Source organism: Homo sapiens, chromosome 11 (genome assembly GCF_000001405.40).
Source record: "Homo sapiens chromosome 11, GRCh38.p14 Primary Assembly".
Classification (NCBI taxonomy): Eukaryota; Metazoa; Chordata; class Mammalia; order Primates; family Hominidae; genus Homo; species Homo sapiens.
In genome coordinates this window covers 93,764,750-93,788,954 of record NC_000011.10, presented here as the reverse complement: position 1 = coordinate 93,788,954, position 24,205 = coordinate 93,764,750, and the positions used below count along the sequence as shown (strand labels likewise).

Sequence of the window (24,205 nt, the reverse complement as noted above, 5' to 3'; positions counted from 1 at the left end):
AATTTCGCCTAACTTTTCTAATCCATCCCTTAAAAAAAAAGGGAAGGAAGGATTAGATGGAAAAACAGGGACTTAAGAGAAAATAACTTGCTTAATTTAAGGTCACACAGTTAATGAAGGCAGAGGCAGGATTCGAATCCAGGTCTACCTGATTCCAAAGCCATTATATCATCACATTTTTGTGTAATATATCACAGACCAAGGACCCAGGCTATAAGAATTTGTTAAGATTTGGTAACCTTTAAAGTATTACATTCTTTTTTTTTTTTTTTTTGGGATGGAATCTCGCTCTGTCGCCCAGGCTGGAGTGCAGTGGCGCGATCTCAGCTCACTGCAACCCCCGCCTCCCAGGCTCAAGCAATTCTCCTGCCTCAGCCTTCTGAGTAGCTGGGACTACAGGTGCCCACCACCACGCCTGGCTTATTTTTGTTATTTTTAATAGAGACAAGGTTTCACAGCATTAGCCAGGATGGTCTCGATCTCCTGACCTCGTGATCTGCCCGCCTTGGCCTCCCAAAGTGCTGGGATTACAGGCGTGAGCCACCACGCCTGGCCTTAAAGGTATTACATTCTTAATGAAACTTAACTCTTCCAAGGATCATAGGTATATAATAAAAAAATAAAGGAAATGCAGTTGTATGGCTTTGTTTTAGACCAGTTAGTCTTTAAATCTTCATCTGGACTTAATTTTGCAAGAAAGGAAAATGGAACAACAGGCACAAAGCCAAAAAAGGGTCCTGGGATTTAATAAATAAAATTTTATTATTCAATTAAAGTCCACAAATACCTGTTTTGGAGGAAGTGCATCCTGAGAGACAGGATCAAGAGTCATAAATTTTTTATCCCTAACAATACTGAGAACATCATAGAGAACACACATCTCTGTCAGGGCACTTCTCAAATTGTTCCTCACTGAGTCCCAAGGCCAAAGGGAAGGCTGAAATTTTACCACTCCTAAAAAGAGAGAGAGAAAAAAAAGAAATACAGAAGTATTCGTTACATTGAATGGCAGACAGCTCACTTAGGTTTAAAAAGTACTAAAAGGAGAAATAATTAATTAAATTTCAAATTGTTCTCTTATTTATGCCATCTCCTCTACCGTTTCTTAAAACTTTGTTAACATTCACATTAGCATTCCTACAATCGCAAAATGAATATGACATCTATTTCCACAGGTTAAATTTATCATTACAACATTATAGACTCAAATCTCTTTTCAAATTTATGTAAACCTTTTTAATAATCTTCTTACAGTGTTTAGAACTTGAATTTACAATTGTACAAAATTTCCAAAATACAGAAAAGTACAAAATGAAAATGACCTGTAAGCCAGCCACTATTAGCATATCTTCCTTTTAACCATTAAAAAAAGTATTGTGATTAAATACATGAACATTCACTATATAGAGTTCACACAATAAAGAATTAGAGGGTAAAAAGTGAAAGTTTTCCTTCATTCCCCACCCGATTCTCTCCCCTCCTGAGAGGTAACCACTATTAACAGATGGAGCGTAGCCTTTCTTTTCTTTTTTTTTTCTTTTTGAGACAAAGTCTTGCTCTGTCACCCAGGCTGGAGTGCAGTAGCGCGATCTCAGCTCACTGCAAGCTCCACCTCCCGGATTCATGCCATTCTCCTGCCTCAGCCTCCCCAGTAGCTGGGACTACAAGCACCCACCACCACGCCCAGCTAATTTTTTGTATTTTTAGTAGAGACGGGGTTTCACCATGTTAGTCAGGATGGTCTTGATCTCCTGACCTCGTGATCTGCCTGCCCCGGCCTCCGAAAGTGCTGGGATTACAGACGTGAGCCACTGCGCCCGGCCCCAGTGAGTGTACCCTTTCAAAGGTTTTTCTATGCACTTACATACATCTATTTCCAATTTTCTATTACTTGCCTTTCCCCCGCCCCCACTTAATATTTCCTAGAGACACTTCCATGTTAGTACTTATGAGTCTACTTAATTCTTCTAACACTGTATGATATTCTGGAACATGGATGTACGGTATGTTTAACCACTTGTATTTAACGGACATGTAGATTGCTTCCAACAAGTAAACTGCTTCCAACAATGCTAGCAGTGGTAAACATCTTGAATATATACCCTGTATATGTGCAACTTTTTCTGCAGGTTAAATTTTTAGTCGTGGTAATAGTGAATCAAAGGAGATATACATTTAAAAGTTTCGGCTGGGTGCAGTGGCTCAGGCCTGTAATCCCAGCACTTTGGGAGGCCGAGGCAGGGTGGATCACCTGACATCAGGTATTTAAGACCAGCCTGGCCAACATGGTGAAACTCTATCTCTACTAAAAATACAAAAATTAGCCAGGCATGGTGCCGCACGCCTACAGTCCCACATACTAGGGAAGCTGAAGTGGGAGAATCGTTTTGAATCCAGGAGGCAGGGGTTGCAGTGAGCCGAGATTGCACCACTGCACTCCAGCCTGGCCGACAGAGCAAGACTCCATCTCAAAAAAAAAAACAAAACAAACCAAAAAAAGTTAAAATTAAATGTTGGCACATATTAAACTGCCAAATTGTCTTTCAGAATCACTACCAGTTCACATTCCTAACCCTGAATATTAACAATCTTTTCAATTTCTGTCAATTTTGTGCATGGAAAGAGTATCTTAATCATGTTTTAATTTCCCAGTCCCTAGTAATGAGATTGAGTCTATGTTCTGTTTATTGGTATCTGAAGTCTCTCCTCTATGAGCCTTCAGATACCTTTGGCCTATTTTTCCAAAGTGTCATTATTTTCTTTTCAGTCTGAAGGGACTTTTTGAATAGAGAAGATATCAACTAAATTTGTGTTATATGTGTAGAACTTCTCCCAGTCTGTCATTTATCTTTTTACTTTGCTTATGGCATCTTTTCCCATTATTTTTAAATTTTATGTAAGTAATATATCTATACTTTGTAAGGTAGGTAGGTGTGTGGTTGTGTGTGTGGATGTTAGAGTCTTGTTCTGTTACCCAGGCTGGAGTGCGGTGGCACAATCATAGCTCACTGCAGCCTTGATCTCACTGGCTGAATCCATCCTCCTCCCTCAGCCTCCCCAGTAGCTGGGACCACAGACGTGCACCACCACGCCCAGCTAATTTTTTTAATTTGTAGAGGCAGGAGCTCCCTATGTTGCTCAGGCTGGTCTTGAAGTCTGGGCTCAAGTGATCCTTCCACCTTGGCCTCCAAAAATGTTGGAACTACAGGTGTGAGCCACCATGCCTGTCCTGTTATTTCCGAAATTAAGAAGATCTATCCGACTCCCAGAATAATACAACTATTCTTTCATTATTTCTTCTAACACTTTGTTTTACTTTCTTCATTTGGCACTTCAATCCTCAAAAATTACTGTGGAAATAATTTTTGTGTGAGGTATAAAGTAGTATTTACCTTTTTTTGCAAATAGACCCCTAATAATCCTAACAGCACTGCCCTGAAATGACATCTTTAAATTCCCATTTACACTGGGTGTGCTGCATAACTAAATTAAGAATTTTGATTTTTTTTTCAAAAATCCTTGACAATAATGAGAATCTGAAACCCACTCATTATTTCTTCACTTCCCTCCTAGTCTCCTCCCTTCCAGTTTTGCTTTCCCTATAATTCATTTATTAGAAAGCATCTAGAGTAAACTTTAACAAAACCATCTCTACTTATCCTGCAAAAGCTTTCAGTGGTCTTAACACTAGTCAAACGCTTATCCCGGCCTACTGGGTTCTACATGATCTGGACCCGCCTACCTCTTGGACCTCGTCACACATTTCAGTCAAAACAGACCTCTTTTCTGCAGGTGCTACTATCATCATTCACACCGCACAAGGATGCAAAGTAACTCGCCCAAGGTCACACAGCCGGCAAGGGGCAGAGCCCCGATCTAGGGCTCTTTTAGCCACTAAGTGTGCTACATTAAAGGCCCTCTACAGAGAAGCATTCATTTAAACATTTCACGGTTTGACAGTGTCTCTAAACGCTGCCATTCAAGGAGACCCGCAGGAGTATTACGTAAAGTCGTGTCCTACCTTGTCCGGCAGCAACAAAAAGATGACGACCAAGTATCCTTACGCTTCCGCTAGAGGGACACTCAAAAGTTCTCGCACGCACAAGATCACCCCCATCGCGGGAGAGGCGGAGGCCCGCGCGGGTGCTGGGACCCAGACCGGGGGACTCGGGCAGCGGATGCAGGCCTTACCTTCCTCGTCGTCCTGGTCTGCGCTGGACCCGGCGCCCGGCCACTCCTGCGCGTCGCCCTCGGTCCCCGCCGCCTCCTCCTCCTCGGAGCCCGAACCCTGGCTGAAGTCTATCCGCTGGGCCAGACGCGCCAGATTCTGCGACATGGACAGCGGGGGCAGGTACGTCTCGGTGCCATCCAGGCCCACCTCATGGACCTGCTTCTCGCAGGCCGATTCGATGCTGATCCGCACTGCGCGCACCCCGGACATGCTGGCTGCGTCGGCCAGCGGTGGGAGGACCCCCCACGAGCCAAAAAACGAGGTACGAAGAGGAGGCTTCCCTGCGGAGAGCCGGGAACTCAGAAGCCCGCAGCCGCGGTGCCTCAGAAGACCCTCGGGAAACCGAACGCAACGCTCAGACTGGAAACAAAGGAGCTGGCCCAGCAACTTTCCCAGAACGCACCGCAAGCTCCCTCCTCGGTAAGTCTTTCGGAGCAAAACTGGGCAGGCGCGGAAGCTCCAGGGTTCCCTAGAGCGCTTCCGGTGAATCACGGTGCAGGGTGGGGTAAACTTCCGGGCCTATAAGAGGCGTGGCCGGCAGAGGGAGGGAAAGAGCGGTTTGGGAGCCGAGAGTGTGGCGGGTATATTCCTTGCTTTTTAAGCCTGCGTTTGTTTAAAAAGTGGATGAGGAAAGAAAGCTGCAGAGGCTAGAAGAGTTAAGGAAAAGGAAATTAATGGATCCTTGGATCTTAGCAATGAGAGTCCTGTTGAGAGAACTGAGATCTGGTGGCGCGCGCCTGTGGTCCAGCTACGCGGGTGGCTGAGGCGGGAGAATGGCTTGAGCCCTGGAGATGGAGGCTGCAGTGAGCCGAGATCTCACCGCTGCATTCCAGCCTAAGCAACAGAGTGGGATCCTGCCTCAAAACAAAAGTTATTTTAAATTAGCAAGAAATTTTTTAAAGAAACACTATCTGAAGAGTTAGAAATTAAGGGCATGGCTTGGGGGAAACAATCGTGCTTATCACCACTTAAAATTATACTACGTAATTATTTGGTTTCCTGTTAGTTATAACTCTATGACAGCCAATATCTGCAGCAGACATAATAGACTCTGGCATGTAGTAAGTGCTTAATATTTATTTTATGCCCGAGTAACAGAATAAATAATGTTGATCTCGCTTTTTTATTAGTGATGGGGTCCCACTATGTTGCCCAGGCTGAGTGCAGAGGTTATTCACAAGTGCTGTCAGCACGCTACAGCCTGGAGCTCCTGGGCTCCAACGATGCTCCTGCCTTAGCCTCCTGAGGAGCTGGGACTATAGGAGCGTGTCACCATGCCTGGCCTGCAAATAATATTTAAAAGATTAAGAAGAAGTGGTATAACTTCAGTCTTTGGGTCTCCAAGAACGTATTTCATTAGTAGGAATTCCACAGACAAAGATGGATTATTTTATATTACAAACCTCTATATTTCGTTTAAGGAATTATATATACCGTTTATCATGAGTGTTTGCCAGGTTTTGTTCTGACCAAGATATATCTAGGTTTTGAACTACTTTCCTAAGGTATTTAGGAAAATACGGTTGCCCTGGTGTCAGTCCCTGCTGAAGAAGAAAGTAGATGGCCGTGTGTGGAGGGGGTTGAATTTTCATGAGAGAAACCTATTTCTGGCAAGCTGTACAGTCTGTCGCCCAATCATGTTCGAGAACCACTGTACTTGCTTTTCGTGTAAATTTGTTTAAAAATTTTTTTTAACTTTATTTTAAAATCTGATTAATAGCCAGGCGCAGTGGCAGTCTAATAGTGCAGACAAAAACAAGACAACAACAAATGATTATGATTCCTAGAATAAGCAAAGCTTTTGCCACCAAGTCTTCAAGATCAAAACTAGCTGCTTAGCCAGTTGTTTAAAGATGTGTTGGATCTGAAAGGTTAGTTGTTAAGGTTTTCATATTATCCATTAACGTAGTGATATTATCTGATTCATCTGGGATACAGACATAACACACAGTTTTTATGATAATGCAAGTTCCTCCCTGGGCTTCGGTGAGTATGTCAAAAGCCATACGGTTTTGTAATAATGGCCTTTTCCATAAGAATAACTATTGTTTAATAATGGAATACTTATGTAGCTATCTTTTGGGTATAATTGGTTAGGACCTCTATATGCCAAATAACATCTTCAACACTCAGTTGTGGTATGAAGATGGAAGCTAAGTGATCATACCAATGAAACACAGGATGAACCCAATGAGATCATAAATAAGGAAAATTTGCAGGTTTTGGCAAAGTACAAACTACTCAAATATATGATTAAGCATAACCTGAAAAACATCATCCTAACTATCCTGGAAGTAACCATGGTCATAGGTTAGTGCCACATAGCCAAAATGTTCCATTTGGAGCTAATCAATAAATACATTAAATGGCATGCCAGTCAGTACTTTGTAATATAATGGTGTGAATACACAGTTCTTTGGGTATCCATGCCATATCTCCAGTGCTTTTGGGCCAGATATCTTTGGTATGATTTCTTTGTTCCCAACATAAAGGGGCAAAGTGGCCAGGCACGGTGGCTCACGCCTGTAATCCTCCACTTTGGGAGAATGAGGCGGGTGGATCACCTGAGGTCAGGAGTTCGAGACTAGCCTGGCCAACATGACGAAACCTCGTCTCTACTAAAAATACAAAAACTAGCTGGGCGTGGTGATGCATGCCTGTAATCCCAGGTACTCAGAAGGCTGAGGCAGGAGAATCACTTGAACCCAGGAGGCAGAGATTACAGTGAGCCAAGATCTCACCACTGCACTCCAGGCTGGGCAACAGAGTAAGACTCTGTCTCAAAAAAAATAAATAAATAAAAAGTTGGGGTGGCAAGGACAAGGTGGCTGGGCTGACAGAAGGAGGGATAAGCCAGATAAAACCATCCCCAATTTGTGTTATACCATTCTGAAATCAAGGTGTCTTATCTCTTAATTGGAACAGTGTCGTTGTTTCATTACTTAGTTGGGACAGTGCCAGCATTAAAGTTAACAAACTAGTTTCTTTTACTAAGAAGCTCCTTCCATGGCTTTTACTCTGTAAAGGTTTTGTTTCGTTTTGTTTTGTTTTGTTTTTGTTTTGTTTTTTGAGATGGAGTTTTGCTCTGTCACCCAGGCTGGAGTGCAGTGGTGCGATCTTGGCTCATTGCAACCTCCGCCTCCTAGGTTCAAGTGATTCTCCTGCCTTAGCCTCCCGAGTAGCTGGGACTACAGGTGCACACCACCACGACTGATTAATTTTTGTGTTTTTAGTCGAGACAGGGTCTCACTTTGCTGGCCAGGCTGGTCTCAAACTCCTGAGCTCAGTCGATCTGCCCGCCTTGGCTTCCCAAAGTGCAAGGATTACAGGTGTGAACTACTGCGCCCAGCCTTTAAAGTATTATTAATAGGCTAGTGATGTACTTTATCCTTCATCATACTACTGTCAAGCACCATGACTGTTTTTAAGAAACACAAATATATTTCTGATATTCTATGCAATATCTTCTCTCCTTGGAGCAATATATTTCTTTCCTTGGAGAGAAGATACCCACCAGGAAAGCCAGAACTACTGGAAAGGGGCATGAGACCACATGTTCAATCAGCATTTTTTTAAATAATCTATTAGCATAGTCCTAAGCCCATTGCAAAAAGAGGTTTGCTTTATGGGCAACAGTTAATGATAGTAGTGCCGAGACATGAAAACTAAGGACAAAAAGAAAGAAGTTTAATGGGAGCTTGTAAAGGAAAGTCTTCCCCATGTATTAACATTTGCTAATATTAAGCATTTGTTTAGATACAGGCCTGGTTTGGAGTCTTGGGTTTTAGCCACCTACATCAGATGTTATCTTGTTCTAGACCTGTCATTGACTTATTTTGAAACAGAGATCACCTTCTGGGGAAACAGTCCCTCAGGAGATGGAGCCCTCTTCAGATCCAGACATGGATCCAGGAGTCTATTCTAGTTTCTGTTTTTTGTTTTTTTGAGATGGAGTCTCATTCTGTCACCCAGGCTGGAGTGCAGTGATGCAATCTCAGCTCACCGCAACCTGTGCCTCCAGGGTTCAAGTGATTCTCCTGCCTCAGCATCCCCAGTAGCTGGGATTACAGGCAGGTGCCCACCATCACACCCGGCTAATTTTTGTATTTTTAGTAGAGATGGGGTCGCGCCATCTTGCCCAGGTTGGTGAACTCCTGAGCTCAGGCGATCCATCCACCTTGGCCTCCCAAAGTGCTGGGATTACAGTCATGAGCCACCACACCCGGCCAGGAGTCTATTCCTTCTAATATAATAGCAAAAGGATTACTAAGAAGCACTTGGTAAGAGCCCTTCCACTTGGTTGGAGACAGTCCTTTAGAGGATGTTGTTCCCAGTAGATACAGTCTCCTGGATGAAAATTGTGGGTCTTGAATTTTTCATATCCCAAGAGCCCATTAGGAAATAATCTTTCACTAGGTAATAATTTTTAGTTAATTATCTCATAAGGTTAGAACAACAAAGGAATATATCTCCTCTTACAGTTAAGGAGTTACCATTTCCTGGGACAGATTCATAGCTATGTGAGTTATTATTTCAAATGGGTACAACTGATGTATTCCAAAGGGGTTGATCTTGGGTTAAGCAAAGCCAATAGAAGCCTTTGGCCATGGGATCTTAAAAATTTGTGTTATTGGCCAGGCAAAGTGACTCACGACTGTAATCCCAGCACTTTGGGAGGCTGAGGTGGGCGGATCACAAGGTCAGGAGTTCGAGACCAGCCTGGCCAATATGGTGAAACCCCCTTTTCTACTAAAAATACAAAAATTAGCTGGGCGTGGTAGTGAGCACCATTCCCATTCACAATTGCTTCAAAGAGAATAAAATACCTAGGAATCCAACTGACAAGAGATGTGAAGGACCTCTTCAAGGAGAACTACAAACCACTGCTCAACAAAATAAAAGAGGACACAAACAAATGGAAGAACATTTCATGCTCATGGATAGGAAGAATCAATATAGTGAAAATGGCCATACTGCCCAAGGTAATTTATAGATTCGATGCAATCCCCATCAAGCTACCAATGACTTTCTTCACAGAATTGGAAAAAACTACTTTAAAGTTCATATGGAACCAAAAAAGAGCCCTCATTGCCAAGTCAATCCTAAGCCAAAAGAACAAAGCTGGAGGCATCACACTACCTGACTTCAAACTATACTACAAGGCTACAGCAACCAAAACAGCATGGTACTGGTACCAAAACAGAGATATAAACCAATGGAACAGAACAGAGGCCTCAGAAATAATACCACATATCTACAACCATCTGATCTGTGACAAACCTGACAAAAACAAGCAATGGGGAAAGGATTCCCTATTTAACCAATGGTGCTGGGAAAACTGGCTAGCCATATGTAGAAAGCTGAAACTGGATCCCTTCCTTACACCTTATACAAAAATTAATTCAAGATGGATTAAATACTTAAATGTTAGACCTAAAACCATAAAAACCCTAGAAGAAAACCTAGGCAATACCATTCAGGACATAGGCATGGGCAAGGACTTCATGTCTAAAACACCAAAAGCAATGGCAACAAAAGACAAAATGGACAAATGGGATCTAATTAAACTAAAGAGCTTCTGCACAGCAAAAGAAACTACCATCAGAGTGAACAGGCAATCTACAGAATGGGAGAAAAATTTTGCAATCTACTCATCTGACAAAGGGCTAATATCCAGAATCTACAAAGAACTCAAACAAATTTACAAGAAAAAAACAACCAACCCCATCAAAAAGTGGGCGAAGGATATGAACAGACACTTCTCAAAAGAAGGCATTTATGCAGCCAGCAGATGCATGAAAAAAATGCTCATCATCACTGGCCATCAGAGAAATGCAAATCACAACCACATTGAGGTATCATATCACACTAGTTAGAATGGCGATCATTAAAAAGTCAGGAAACAACAGGTGCTGCTGGAGAGGATGTGGAGACATAGGAACACTTTTACACTGTTGGCGGGACTGTAAACTAGTTCAACCATTGTGGAAGACAGTGTGGTGATTCCTCAGGGATCTAGAACTGGAAATACCATTTGACCCAGCCATCCCATTACTGGGTATATACCCAAAGGATTATAAATCATGCTGCTATAAAGACACATGCACATGTATGTTTATTGTGGCACTACTCACAATAGCAAAGACTTGGAACCAACCCAAATGTCCAACAATGATAGACTGGATTAAGCAAATGTGGCACATATGCACCATGGAATACTATGCAGCCATAAAAAATGATGAGTAGGGACATGGATGAAGCTGGAAACTATCATTCTGAGCAAACTATCGCAAGGACAGAAAACCAAACACTGCATGTTCTCACTCATAGGTGGGAATTGAACAATGAGAACACTTGCACGCAGGAAGGGGAACATCACACACCGGGGCCTGTTGTGGGGTGGGGGGAGGGGGGAGGGATAGCATTAGGAGATATACCTAATGTAAATGACGAGTTAATGGGTGCAGCACACCAACATGGCACATGTATACGTATGTAACAAACCTGCACGTTGTGCACATGTACCTTAGAACTTAAAGTATTATTTAAAAATATATATATATATATATATATATATATATATATATATATATATATATAAAGATTCTATAGAGTAACCTGGCTGGGCGCGGTGGCTCACGCCTGTATTCCCAGTACTGTGGGAGGCTGAGGTGGGTGGATTGCCTGAGCTCAGGAGTTTGAGACCAGCCTGGGTAATATGGCAAGACCCCATCTCTACTAAAAATACAAAAATTAGCCAGCTGTGGTGGCGGGCGCCTGCCTGTAATCCCAGCTACTGGGAAGGCTGAGGCAGGAGAATTGCTTGAACCCGGGAGGTGGAGGTTGCAGTGAGCCAAGATCGCGCCTCTGCACTCCAGCTTGGGTGACAGAGCAAGACTCTGTCTCAATAAAGAAAAAAAAAAAAGATACTACAGCGCAATCTGTGCAATAAGTCCCAGGTTTATTCTTTAGGTAAGATCCATCTGTAAGCCAAACAACATCAGCGTTAATAAGGGGAATCTATTTCTAAGCCAAACAATGTCAGCGTTAATAAGGAGAATCTCTTGCAGGTCTGTTATAGGAGAGAGAAATTGATCGGTTAAGATTATGCACTTATGGGCGGGCACGGTGGCTCACGCCTGTAATCCGACACTTTGGGAGGCCGAGGTGGGAAGATCACGTGTGGCCAGGAGTTCGAGACCAGCCTTCGCAACATAGTGAGACCTCGCCTCTAAAAAAAAGAAAAATCAAAAAATTAGGCGGAAGGATTGCTCCAGGCCAGCAGGTCAAGCCTACAGTGAGCTGGTGAGCTGCGCTTGGGCCACGGCACTCCAGCCTGGGTGACAGAGCAAGACTCTGCCTTGAAAAAAATAAAAATAAAAATAAAGATTATGCAATCTCATCTCGAGGCAGAAGAATGGCAGAGTTTAGATTATTGCACCTAGAGATTGTAGTATGAGGTACGGAAAAAAGAACTTCATAAGTAGTCTGATGACCGAATAATGTTGAATGTGGTGCCAATTTTGAAGTGCTTTCACAGAATGTGGAACTAAGTGACAGGAAATTCGCATCACTATTTCTCTGGTGGCTCTTACTAACAAAGCAGTGGAAGTTATTGCCCTCATGCAAGGGGGCAGTGCTTTAGTCAAAGGGTCCAGTTACTGACTATAGTAGCCTATAGGTCTGTTTTGGGCTCCCTGTTTTTATGTCAGAATGTCTAAGGCGTTTCCCTGATTTTCAAAAACAAATAATGAAATGGAATATTATAACTTGGGGATCCCATCCTGGGGCATCTCTAAGGCCCCTTTTAATCCCTTTCAGCATTAACTGATTTTCTTTAGTCCATTGCAGGGTGTCTGGCTTGTTTTGTTTTAAAAGAATACATATGCTAGGTGTGGTGGCTTATGCTTGTAATCGCAGAACTTTAGGAGGCCTAGATGGGAGGATCCCTTGAGGCCAGGAGTTTGAGACCACTGTGGGCAACATAGCAAGATTCCATCTCTACACAAAATTTTTTAAAAAAATTAGCTGGGCAGCCAGGTGCAGTGGCTCACACCTGTAATCCCAGCACTTTGGGAGGCCAAGGCAAGTGGATCCCTTGAGCCCAAGAATTCCAGACCAGCCTGGGCAACATGGTGAAACCCCATCTCTACAAAAAAAAAGAAAAAATACAAAAATTAGCTGGGTGTGGTGGTGTGCGCCTGTAGTCCCAGCTACTTGGGGCGCTGGGGTGGAGGATCACTTGAGCCCCAGAGGTTGAGGCTGCAGTGAGCTGTAACTGTGCCACTCTACTCTAGTGTGGCCAACAGAGCATGACCCTGTCTGTTAAAAAAAAAAAAAAAAAAGTTAAAATCAGGAACCCATTGGATAGATTGTTTGTTTGTTTTTAGAGACAGAGTCTCGCTCTGTTGCCCAGACTGGGGTGCAGTGGTGTGATCAGAGCTCACTGCAGCCTGGAACTCCTGGGCTCAAGGGATCCTCCCACCTCAGCCTCCCGAATAGCTGGGACTAACAGGTGCATGCCACCATGCCCAGATAATTAAAAACAATTATTTTGTAGAGATAAGGTTTCACCATCTTGCCCAGGCTGATCTTGAATTCCTGGTCTCAGGTGATCCTCCTGCCTCAGCCTCCCAAAGTACTGGGATTACAGGTGTGAGTGACCATGCCTGACCTGTTTTTTTTGTTTTGTTTTTTGTTTTTGTTTTTTTTTTAAATAAACAACAGAAAGTTATTTCTCACAGTTCTGGAGACTGAGAAGTTCAAGATCAATGTGCCAGTAGATTTGGTATCTGGTGAAGACCCATTTCCTGATTTATACACAACACCTTCTTGCTGAGTTCTCACTTGGAAAAGATAAACAAGCTCCCTCAGGTCTCTTTTATAAGGGTACCAATCCCCTTCATGAGGGCTCTGCCTCCATGGCTTCATTGCTTCCCAGCAGGCCCCACCCCCTAATACCATCACCTTAGGGGTTAGGATTTTGACATTTGAATTTTGTCATTGGATAGGTTTAATAAAAGATTTGATACAGTAGAGAACAGGATTAATGAACTCAAAGGCTAGTCAATGGAAAAATCCAAACCAAAGCACAAAAATAACAGAACAGAGTGTAAGATAATTTGGGATTCACGTTCCAAGTCATTACAAGAATTAAAGTGTTAATAAAAGGATACTATGAATCACACCCCTTTTCTGCACTTCCTCTGGCCAGTGTATCTTAGTTTTAGCGCCCCCTGTGATGCAGTTCTGTATTACTGGGACCACCCTCCATATACAGTAGTAAAAGAGGGAGAAAATAGGATCACAAGAGGCTCATTTCCTGATTCCTCTGGCCCAAGAGATGTGTTTTTCTCTCAGACTTTTAGATAACAGCTTACCTGCTGCCACTGATGCAGCAGAACAGCTTTGCCTGCAATGGGGCTAGTCAAGGGATCCTCCCACCTCAGCCTCCCAAATATCTGGGACTAACAGGTGCATGGAGAGAACAGAAGAGGGCCAGGAGAGAACAGAAAACATAAGGAGAAAAAAGGGAGACTTCTTTTTTTCTTTTCTTTTCTTTTTTTTTTTTTTTTTGAGATCGAGTTTTGCTCTTGTTGTCCAGGCTGGAGTGAAATGGCGTGATCTCGGCTCACTGCAACCTCTGCCTCCTGGGTTCAAGCAATTCTCCTGCCTCAGCCTCCCAAGTAGCAGGGATTACAGGCATGTGCCACCACGCCCAGCTAATTTTGTATTTTTAGTAGAGATGGGGTTTCTCCATGTTGGTCAGGCTGGTCTCAAACTCCTGACCTCAGGTGATCTGCCTGCCTCGGCCTCCCAAAGCGCTGGGATTACAGGCATGAGCCACCACACCCAGCCAAAAGGGAGACTTTTCTCCATGTGGTTACATGGGGCTCCTTTTCCTGGTTCTCTGGTGAGAAAGAGGGACTGTCTCTTGGGAGCTTTTGTTCTCCATGCTGGTTGCGTAGTTCCTCCAATGCAAGCTGCCTTGGGTCAAATCCAGAAGATAAAAGAGGAGAGGAAAAAGAGGAAACTCATTATCATATTGTTCATTCTTTCAGTTTTGACTTGTCTTCTCAACTTGCCTATTGGTTTTTTTGTTTGTTTGTTTTGTTTTGTTTGAGACAGGGTCTCACTCTGTTGCCCTGACTGGAGTGCAGTCACCTGATCATGGCTCACTTTAGCCGTGACCTCCGGGGCTCAAATGATCCTTCCACCTCAGCCTCCCTAGTAGCTGGGACTACAGGTGTGCACCACCACACCTAGTCAATTTTTAATTTTTGTAGAGACAGGATCTCACTATCTTGTCCAGGCTGATCTCAAACTGATGGCACTGGCAGGCCATCCAGAGTGGCCACTGCCATTGAGCCCTGGCTATGGGGAGGGCATGGGGAGGAGGTGGTCAGCCCTCCTGCAGCCTGCTGCCCTGGGGGCCACTACAATGGGGCCAGGCCTGGTTGCCCACCAGTGGGGGAAAACCACAGTAGGGCAGAGAGGTGCCCTGAGGTGGAGCTGGGCTCCAGGCGGTGCTGCGCTTGCAAATGGAGTATAGGGCCCAGGCCCAGGGTGCAGAGTTGGGGCCATGCTTTGGGGGCCTGGGGTGGGAAGTGGGAGTGGCACCCGCTTCAGGGACCTGGCCAGTGGCCACCATTCCCACCCCGCTGATGGCTCTGGGTTCCTGCACCTCAGGAGGAGGCTCTGTGTAGGGCCCCCTGGAGCCACATCCCCAAGGTCTGCCCCACATCAGGGTGACTGCTGAACCTGACACTCCTGATAGCTGGCCCTGGCCTGCACGTGTGATCTGGTCCCAGAAGCCCCCCACCGAGGGAAGGGCCATGAGCTAGGCAGAGGGGAGCCCCAGGTCACCCCTGAGTGCCAGGGCCATGTGGGGAGCTCACAGCAACATCACCCCTGCCCCGACGCTGGCCCGGGCCCAGCAAGGACCTGGAGCTCCTGCCGCAGACTGCAAGGGACCTGGCTGGGGCTGCATGCTCCACAGAACTGGTGGGAGCTGGGAGCAGGCAGCAGCCCCCATCCCCCCCACCCCAGGTGCAACTGCAGCTGCCCAAGTTGGGGCTGTGGACTCAGGCCTTCCTGTGTTCTTGGGGGCCAGAGCAGGCAGGCACCCTGCATGCCTCACACCTCCAGACCTGGGCCTCTCTGCACTCTTGGAGGCCTGGGAAGTCCCCCAACCCCATGGTCTCAGAAGTGACTGCTCCTACTGACTGGCTTCTCCCTGCTGTTGGCACCTGCTCTGATCTTGGAGCAACATGGGGCCAAGCTGGGGTACTGTCACAGCCCAGCCAGGTGTGCACACACTTGGGGCAGTGCTGACATGCTGGCCCCCTGCTGCCTTGGCCCTGCCAGACTTTGGGTACCAACAAGCATAGTGGGGAAGCCGAGGGGAGTGCTGCACTCCAGTCAGGGCAACAGAATGAGACCCTGTCTCAAACAAAACAAAACAAACAAAAAAAATCAATAGGCTCAGCACTGGCCTACAGGTGACCCTTGACTTGAGCAGCCTGGGAACCATGGACAGCGGCAGGAGGCAGACAGGCTTCTGGGCAGAAAAGGGTGGGTCCCCGGTGAGGCCCCACCTTCAGGTCAGGGAGGGCCTGAATGCTGGGGGCCAAACTGCCAGTCCTGGGAACCAGAGTGAAGACTTGTGGTGCCTTTTCTTGGCCTATCCATGGCCGCCCTTGGACCAATTAGCGCACACTTCTTCCCCTCTGAGGCCCATAAAAGCCCCAGGCTCAGCCAGAGCAAAGCAAAGGACAGAGAGATGACAGGACAACCTGCCTACAGAGAGGAGCCACCAACTCTAGGGCCTCCTCTCTGGTGAGAGCTACAGATGGCGAGACAACCCACTGCAGAGAGGAGCTACTCTCTCTGCTGAGAACTGAACAATTGTTGGGACGACCTGCCTGCAGAGAGGAGCTACCCTCTCTGCTAGGAGCTGAACACTCATCAGGACACCCTGTCTATGGAAAGGAGCTGCCCACTGCAGGTCTTCTTTGAGCTGTTCTAATGCTCATTGAAGCTCCTTTTCATCTTGCTCACCTTTCACTTGTCTGCATACCTCATTCTTCCTGGTTGCAGGACAAGAACTTGGGACTCGCTGAAAGGCAAGACTAAAAGAGCTGTAACACAAACAGGGCTGAAACATGCCCCTTGCTCACCACATTGTGGGTGGAGAGAAGAAGAGCGGCAGCCCTTTGGGGAGGCCAGACCTGGAAACTCCCTGAGCCAGGGCTGTGACTCCCTCTTTGAGGCCCTGCAGTTTCTGATGTCTCCAAGCTTCCGGACACCACCGCATTCCCCAATGCCAGCTGGGGAAGCAGCTTGTAGTGCACCTGGTGCAGCCAGCATGTCTGACTGTGCAGTGGCTGGATCCCATACTTGCTCAGATACCCCTCACCTCTCCATGCCTGACTCACAGTCTTTCTTGGAGGCATGGGATCCCAGCCAGTAGCATGAGCTGAGCACAGCCTGCCAGGCTGAATGGGTGGAATGAGTCCAGTGTGCCTGAACAAAGCTCAAGCAAAGGCACTACCAGCCACAGGTTTCCAGCCAGAAAAGTGACACCCCAAAGATCCCGTAACAAAACTCCTGGGCTTAAGCAATCCTCCCACCTGGGCCTTCCAAAGTGCTGGGCCTACTGGCATAAGCCACCATGCCCAGCCCATTGTTTAATTTTCAACTGTTCTGAAAGGGATGCTTTTTTTCATGCAAAGTTCTATATTTTGTAATTGTGTGGGAAACAGGTTGTTGTGCTAAGTCTTGGTGCTGGCCAAGGCTTATTCCATCTTGGCCAGCACCAGAAGTTCAAATTCATGTTTGTTTGTTTGTGTTTTTGTTTTTTTTTAAAGATGAGGTACATTAGTCAGAGTTTTCTAGAGAGACAGAATAGGATAGATGTATATATGAAGGGGAGTTTATAAAGGAGTATTGACTCACACAATCACAAGGTGAAGTCTCATAATAGGCCGTCTGCAAGCTGAGGAGCAATGAAGTCAGTCTGACTCCCAAAACCTCAAAAGTAGGGAAGCTGATGGTGCATCCTTCAGCCTGTGGCCAAAGGCCCAAGAGCCCCTGGAAAACCACTGGTGTAAGTACAAGAGTCCAAAAGCTGAAGAATTTGGAGTCTGATGTTTGAGATCAGGAAGCATCCATCACGGGAGAAAGATAAAGGGTGGAAGACTCAGCAAGTCAGCTTCTCCCACCTTCTTTTGCCTGCTTTTTTTCTAGCTGCACTGGCAGTTGATTGGACGGTGCCCACCCACATTGAGGGTGAGTCTGCCTTTCCCAGGCCACTGACTCAAATGTTAATCTCCTTTGGCAACACCCTCACAGACACATTGAGGAACAATACGTTGCATCTTTCAATCCAATCACGTTGACAGTATCAACCATCACACAAGGTCTCACTCTGGTCACCCAGACTGGAGTGCAATGGCAGGATCTCAGCTCGTTGCAGCCTTTGCCTCCTGGGCTCAAGCGATCCTCCAGCCTCAGCCTTCTAAGTAGCTGGGACTACAGGCATGCACTACCACATCTGGCTATTTTTTTGTGTTTTCGGTAGAGACAGAGTTTCTCCATGTTGCCCAGGCTGATCTCGAACTCCTGGGTTTAACAGATCTGCCCACCTCAGCCTCCCAGAGTGCTGGGATTACAGGTGTGAGCCACTGTGCCTGGCCCATGTATTCTTTAGTAAATTTCTCTTGTTATGATATTCAGTTTCCTTTAACATGTTGTTAAAAGAAAAATTTTAGACAAATTAAACGGAGCTTAATTGAACAAAGAACAATTCTTGAATTGGGCAACCCCCAGAACAGAATAGGTCCAGAAGTGACTCCAGTGCTGCCAGATGGTTGGAGAGGATTTAAGGACAGAAAAAGGAAAGTGGCCTACACAAAATGGAAGGGAGGTACAGGAACAGCTGGATTGGTTACAGCTCAGCATTTGCCTTATTTGAAGGTGGTTCGAACAGTTGGCCGCCTGTGAGTGGTTGGAGTATGGCTGCTGTGATTGGTTGAGACTTGGCTACTTGTTACAAGAGTAACAGTCTGTGAACCCAAAATATCTGAGACAGGTCTCAGTCAATTTAGAAAGTTTAATTTGCCAAGGTTAAGGATGCACTGTGACATAGCCTCAGGAGGTCCTGACAACATGTGCCCAGGATGATCAGAGCACACGTTGGTTTTATACATTTTAGGGAGACATGAGACATCAATTAATCTGTGTAAGATACACATTGGTTCCCTCAGATAAGGCAGGACAACTCTATGTGGGGACTTCCAGGTTAGAAGTAGATAAGAGATAAAAGGAAAAGGTTGCATTCTTTTGAGTCCTTGATCAGCCTTCCACTGAATACACAATTTAGTCTGGCTCAGTGACTGTGCATATTGTTTTTACATAAACAATAGGGCAGAGAAAACAATCAGATATGCATTTGTCTCAGGTGAGCCTCAGAGGGATGACTTTGAGTTCTGTCTGTCCTTTGTCCACAAGGTATTGTGGACAATTGTGAGGGAGGTATATAGCTTCTTCTCTTTGTAGCTGTCTTATTTAGGAATAAAATGGGAGGCAGGTGTCTGACATAGTTCCCAGCTTGACTTTTCTTTTGGCTTAGTGATTTTGGGGTTCCAAGATTTATTTTCCTTTCACAAGTCCATTTACACATCCAGTTAGATTACATTTCACTAGGTATGGAGAAACTTTTAGGCCAAACTTAAAATATGTAAGGAGGCAGCTTTTAGGCTAAACTTAATTTAACAGTGTACAGTACAATATAGGGCAATACTGGCCGGGTGCAGTGGCTCACGCCTGTAATCCAAGCACTTTGGGAGGCTGAGGCAGGCGGATTACCTGAGGTCAGGAGTTCGAGACCAGCCTGGCCAACATGGCAAAACCCCGTCTCCACTAAAAATACAAAAATTAGCTGGGCCTGGTGGTGTATGCCTGTAGTCCCAGCTACTCCAGAGGCCAAGACAGGAGGATCACTTGAACCTGGGAGGCGGAGATTGCAGTGAGCCAGGATTGCACCATTGCACTCCAGCCTGGGCAATGGAGTAAGACTCCATCTCAAAAGACAAAAAACAAACAAAAAACAATATAGGGCAATACTGATAGGATTTATTCTATTTTATTTCAATTATTTTTTCACCTGAGTTGGGGCTTAGAAAACAAAATTGTAAAATATAGCACTTTGGCATGCTGAATGTTTTGAATTAAGGAATATTAAAAGGTCTCAGAAATAAGCCTCAGAACCAAGGGATCTCTCTGACCTTCCTCAGCTTCCCCATCTCTCTGATCTTCTTCCTTTTCTGAAGCTTCTGGAAGGACTCTGGAACTTCCTTTTGTGAGCAGGGAAGCTTCTTTCCAAAAAAAAAAAAAAAAAAAGCAGTGAATCCCCTCTCTAGGAATCTCATCAAATAACCAGAACAGGTTAACCACCAAAAAGATGACACTGGGAGTTGTCACCATGTCCAGGCAGGCTTTTTTTTTTTTTTTTTTGAGACAGAGTCTCACTCTGTCACCCAGGCTGGAGTGCAGTGGCATGATCTCAGCTCACTGCAACTTCTGCCTCCCACGTTCAAGTGATTCTTCTGCCTCAGCCTCCGGAGTAGCTGAAATTACAGGTGCCTGCCACCATGCCTGGTTAATTTTTGTATTTTTAGTAAAGATGGGGTTTCTCCATGTTGGCCAGGCTGGTCTCAAACTCCTGACCTCAGGTGATCCACCCGCCTCGGCCTCCCAAAGTGCTGGAATTACAGGCATGAGCCACCGTGCCCGATCTGGATTTTTCATTTATTCTTGTGAGTGCAGCTCCACGAGGATTACCTGGGAGACATTATCTATGTAAGATAACCTTTGCTCACAGTAAAGTTCTGCCCCTCATCTTCCTGCCACCTCCCCCAGAGTTCAAAATAACTTTCTTCCAGGCCATTGTTCTTGGAGCTCATTCATTTTCCCTAAAAATCTTTTACTCCTATACCCCCGTGCCCACCATCTCCCCTTCCTCTATGAAGAAGGGTATATAAACATCTGGACCTCATTGGATTATTGAGTAGTCATTCTCCTGAGGTTCCCTCATGCTTATGCACACTAAATAAAGTTTGTATGCCGTTTTCTCCTGTTAGTCTGCTTTTTGTCAGTTTATTTTCAATGAGCCTTCAGAAAGAGTGAAAGGGAAGCTTGGTCTTCTCCTCTATGCATGTCAGTGTCCCCACTAGACCAAGCTCTTCCAGGTCAGGGACTATGTCTTATTCATCTTTGTATTCCTAGTACCTGGCACAGTATGTACCAGTACAATATGTACCATATATACCAGTAGAGTACATACTACTATATACTAATACCACTACAGCATGTACCAGAGCACCTAGTATAGTATGTAATAGTAAATTGCTACTGAATGAAAGATTAGGCCACACAGAGGCTTTACAGGTAAACTAAAAGGAAGCTGAGCTTTAAAACCAAAAGCAAATGGAAATCTGCATTTCGGTGTTGTATCAGTCTGTTCTCGCATGCTGTAAAGACATACCTGAGACAGGGTAATTTATAAAAAAGGTTTAATGGGCTCATGATTCTGCAGGTTATACAGGCTTCTGCTTCTGGGGAGGCCTCAGGAAACTTACAATCATGGGGCAAAGGCAAAGGGAAGCAGGCAGGATGGGAACAGTGGCTCATGTCTGTACCCAGAATTTTGGGAGGCTGAAGTGGGAGGAGCACTTGAGTCCAGGAGTTCGAGACCAGGCTGGGCAATGTGATGAAACCCTGCCTCTAAAATAAAAAAATAAAATAAAATAAAATAAAAATTAGCTGGGTGTGGCATGTGCCTGTAGTCCCAGCTACTCTGGAGGCTAAGGTGGGAGGATGGTTTGAGCCTGGGAGGCAGAGGTTGCAGTGAGCTGAGATCATGCCATTGCACTCTAGCCTGGGTAACAGAGCCATACCCTCTCTCAAAAAAAAAAAAAAAAAAAGGAAAAAGAAAGAAAAAAAAATTTTTTTTTTAAGACGGAGTCTCACTCTGTCGCCCAGGCTGGAGTGCAGTGGCGCGATCTCGGCTCACTGCAAGCTCCACCTCCCAGGTTCACTCCATTCTCCTGCCTTAACCTCCCTAGTAGCTGGGACTACAGGTGCCCACCACCACACCTGGCTAATTTTTTGTATTTTTAGTAGAGATGGGGTTTCACCATGTTAGCCAGGATGGTCTCGATCTCCTGACCTCGTGATCTGCCCACCTCGGCCTCCCAAAGTGCTGGGATTCCAGGCATGAGCCACTGCAAAGGGGAGGCAGGCACATCTTCACATGGCCAGCAGGTGACAAAGAGAGGGTGAAGTGGGAGGCGCTTTCAAACAAGCAGATCTTGGGAGAACTCTATCACGAGGTAGCACCAGGGGGATAGTGCTAAACCATTAGAAACCACACCCATGATCCAATCACCTCCCACAAAGCCCCACCCCCAAGCCTGGGGATTACAGTTCAACCTGAGACTTAGGTGGGGACACAGAGCCAAACCATATCAGGTATTTACTGTAGTGACAAATATTAGGTTGCCAATGCAAATAATATCAAGTGTTAGTCTAAATTTGAAGAAGTTAATCCTCGTTGTGGTTAATATGAGTCAGAAAAACAGCATATCAGAGAAATGAGGCTAAAGGTAGGAGTTCTAGGAAGAGTAATCATAGATTTAGCCAATGAATATACCAGATTTTCTGTGGAAAATTCAGTTTTTAATATTTCATTATTTTAGTCACATAATTGCCCTGTCAGATTGTGTTCTGTTATCTGGAAGACCAAAATGGATGCTCCTTTATCAACTAAGAAGAACCCTAAAGTTAAGAAAACGAAAGTTACCTATGGGTGGAGGGTTCAGGGCTTGGTTGGCATGGGAACTTCGCAAATTCCTAAGGCTACAAGAAAAAACACAATCTTGCTAAATTTGCTAAAAATAGGAGCTATTGGGAAAATTGTCAGAACCTTACCAAACCTGATTTACAATCCAAACCACTATAGCTCTGATTGGACAAAGGACCAGCCTTACAAAAATTCTTTCCTGATAAGCAACCGAAGACCTCGAGCCAGTGTCAGCCAGTTTATAGAGACTGCATGCAAACTTTGTGTCCAATAGTTCACCTTTTGACATGAAGGGCCAAGTTCCACCTTATTTTAATGTTAAAACCTTACCCCAAAGTGAACGTGGGATTTGTGTTACATATGTTTATCCATTGCACGTGTGTTCAACTTCCCTCATAGATATGTATAACTTTTCTCCCAAAACTGCTGAATATGTTTTACTCTATTGTGTGATACAGGCCCTGTGAGGCATAAAAACCAATCTGCCCTTTTCCCTCTGGGAAGAGAGCACTTTTGGCATAAGCTGGAGACTGTCTCTTCCCGCTGTGCAAACTGAAATCACCAATATAGCTCTCCTTTCTACTATTTAGCCATCCTGGTGGTCTTTTGGATGACATATTCTTCTTCTTTAAAGGAACATGGTCTGACTCTGTTGCCAAGGATGGGCTGAGGTGGTGCCATCTGGATTCACTATAGCTTCAGCCTCCAGGTCTCAAGTGATCCTCCTGCCTCAGCCTCCCAAGTAGCTGGGACTACAGGTATGTGCCACCATGCCCAGCTAATTTTTTAGTTTTTGTAGAGATGGGGTCTCACTATGTTGCCCAGGCTGGTCTCAAACTCCTGGGCTCAAGCAATCCTCCCACCTCAGCCTTCCAAAATGCTGGGATTACAGGCATGAGCCATTGCACCTGGTTGGATGACAATTCTTTAGGTTTATCTGTGTTCTTATTTTAGGTTTGGAAAGATGGTATGACACTGTGATGTATAATAAGATATGCAGTATGTATAGATAGTCTTAGTCCCAGTATTCTGGCACACAGCTCCTAAAACCCTGGGAATCTCCAAAGTGATAAATGGTTTTTTGTATGCTAATGAAATGACAGTGATAAGTGGGTTTCTGCATGCCAGAAGCTCCTGGATAGCTTCAAGATAGGGGCTCCTTGCCCAGGAACTAACCACGTGATTAAAGAATTCCGGCTTTCAGCCCCAACACCAACCTTGAAGGAGAGGAAAGGCTGAAGGTTGAACTTATCACCAGTGACCAATAATTTAATCAATTCTGCCTACATAAGGAAGCCTCTATAAAATCCCAAAAGAAAGGCAGAGGCGGGTGGATCACTTGAGCCCAGGAGTTCAAGACAAGCCCGGGTAACATGATGAGACCCCGTCTCTACGAAAAATACAAAAATTGGCTGGGCGTCATGGCGCACACCTGTTAGTCCCAGTTACTCAGGAGGCGGAGAGGGGAGGATTGCGTGAGCCTGGGAGGCAGAGGTTTCAGTGAGCAGAGATCATGCCACTGCACTCCAGCCTGGGTGACAGAGTGAGAACCTGTCTCAAAAACAAAAACAAAGCCAAAGTCCAAAAGAAAAGGGTTTGGATAGCTTCCAAATTGCTGAACAGGTGGACATGCCTAGAAGGTGGGGCACCCAGAAACGGTGTGGAAGCTCTGGACTTCTGCTGGCCTTTCCATATGCATCTCTTCCATCTGGCTGTTCATCTGTATACTTTATTATATCCTTTATTAATAAACTGGAAAATATAAGTAAAGTGTTTCCCTGGGTTCAGTGATCTGCTCTAAGCAAATTAATCAAACCTGAAGAGGTAGGCATAGAGACCCCGATTTACAGTGGGTTGGTCAAAAGTACAGGTCACAACCTGAAGCTTGTGATTGGCATCGGAAGTGGGAGGCAGTCTTGGAGGATTGAACCATTAAACTGTGGGATCTGACGCTATCTCCAAGTAAATAGTGTTAGAATTGAATTAAATTATAGGACCCCCAGCTGATGTCTGCTGGAGAATTGCTTGGTGTGTGGGAAAAACCCCCATGCATCTGGTCACAGAAGCTTTCTGTGTTATACTGAGTGAATGTAAGAGTAAGAAGAGCACTT

The 24,205-nt window shown here is 45.1% G+C and overlaps 1 protein-coding gene across 1 annotated transcript in view, besides 6 other annotated features; it reads right to left on the bottom strand.

Annotated features, from left to right (window-relative positions):
• The window catches only part of MED17 (mediator complex subunit 17), a 30,682-nt gene extending 26,009 nt beyond the window's left edge, over positions 1 to 4,673 (bottom strand). The window contains exons 1-2 of the mRNA NM_004268.5: positions 4,192 to 4,673; positions 788 to 954 (exon numbers count right to left, since the gene is read on the bottom strand). Of these exons, the coding sequence (NP_004259.3) occupies positions 788 to 954; positions 4,192 to 4,441 (417 nt within the window). The 5' untranslated portion in view covers positions 4,442 to 4,673. The remainder of the gene's footprint in view (positions 1 to 787; positions 955 to 4,191) is intronic.
• Positions 1,889 to 2,388: an enhancer, noted in NCBI's record as "H3K4me1 hESC enhancer chr11:93519733-93520232 (GRCh37/hg19 assembly coordinates)". NCBI's record gives its function as "activates a minimal SCP1, AML or CMV promoter by ChIP-STARR-seq in naive H9 embryonic stem cells {active_cell/tissue: H9 hESC(naive)}" and the evidence as "EXISTENCE:reporter gene assay evidence [ECO:0000049][PMID:30033119]".
• Positions 3,941 to 4,135: a silencer, noted in NCBI's record as "fragment chr11:93517986-93518180 (GRCh37/hg19 assembly coordinates)". NCBI's record gives its function as "represses an EF-1alpha promoter that drives an FKBP-Casp9 reporter gene in an ReSE screen in K562 erythroleukemia cells {active_cell/tissue: K562}" and the evidence as "EXISTENCE:reporter gene assay evidence [ECO:0000049][PMID:32094911]".
• Positions 4,137 to 4,266: a silencer, noted in NCBI's record as "silent region_3840". NCBI's record gives its function as "represses an Ori minimal core promoter by ATAC-STARR-seq in GM12878 lymphoblastoid cells {active_cell/tissue: GM12878}" and the evidence as "EXISTENCE:reporter gene assay evidence [ECO:0000049][PMID:35858748]".
• Positions 4,397 to 4,616: an enhancer, noted in NCBI's record as "active region_5400". NCBI's record gives its function as "activates an Ori minimal core promoter by ATAC-STARR-seq in GM12878 lymphoblastoid cells {active_cell/tissue: GM12878}" and the evidence as "EXISTENCE:reporter gene assay evidence [ECO:0000049][PMID:35858748]".
• Positions 4,397 to 4,852: a biological region, named in NCBI's record as "Sharpr-MPRA regulatory region 5970".
• Positions 4,558 to 4,852: an enhancer, noted in NCBI's record as "tiled region #5970; HepG2 Activating DNase unmatched - State 1:Tss, and K562 Activating DNase unmatched - State 1:Tss". NCBI's record gives its function as "activates a minimal TATA promoter and a strong SV40 promoter by Sharpr-MPRA in HepG2 and K562 cells {active_cell/tissue: HepG2 | K562}" and the evidence as "EXISTENCE:reporter gene assay evidence [ECO:0000049][PMID:27701403]".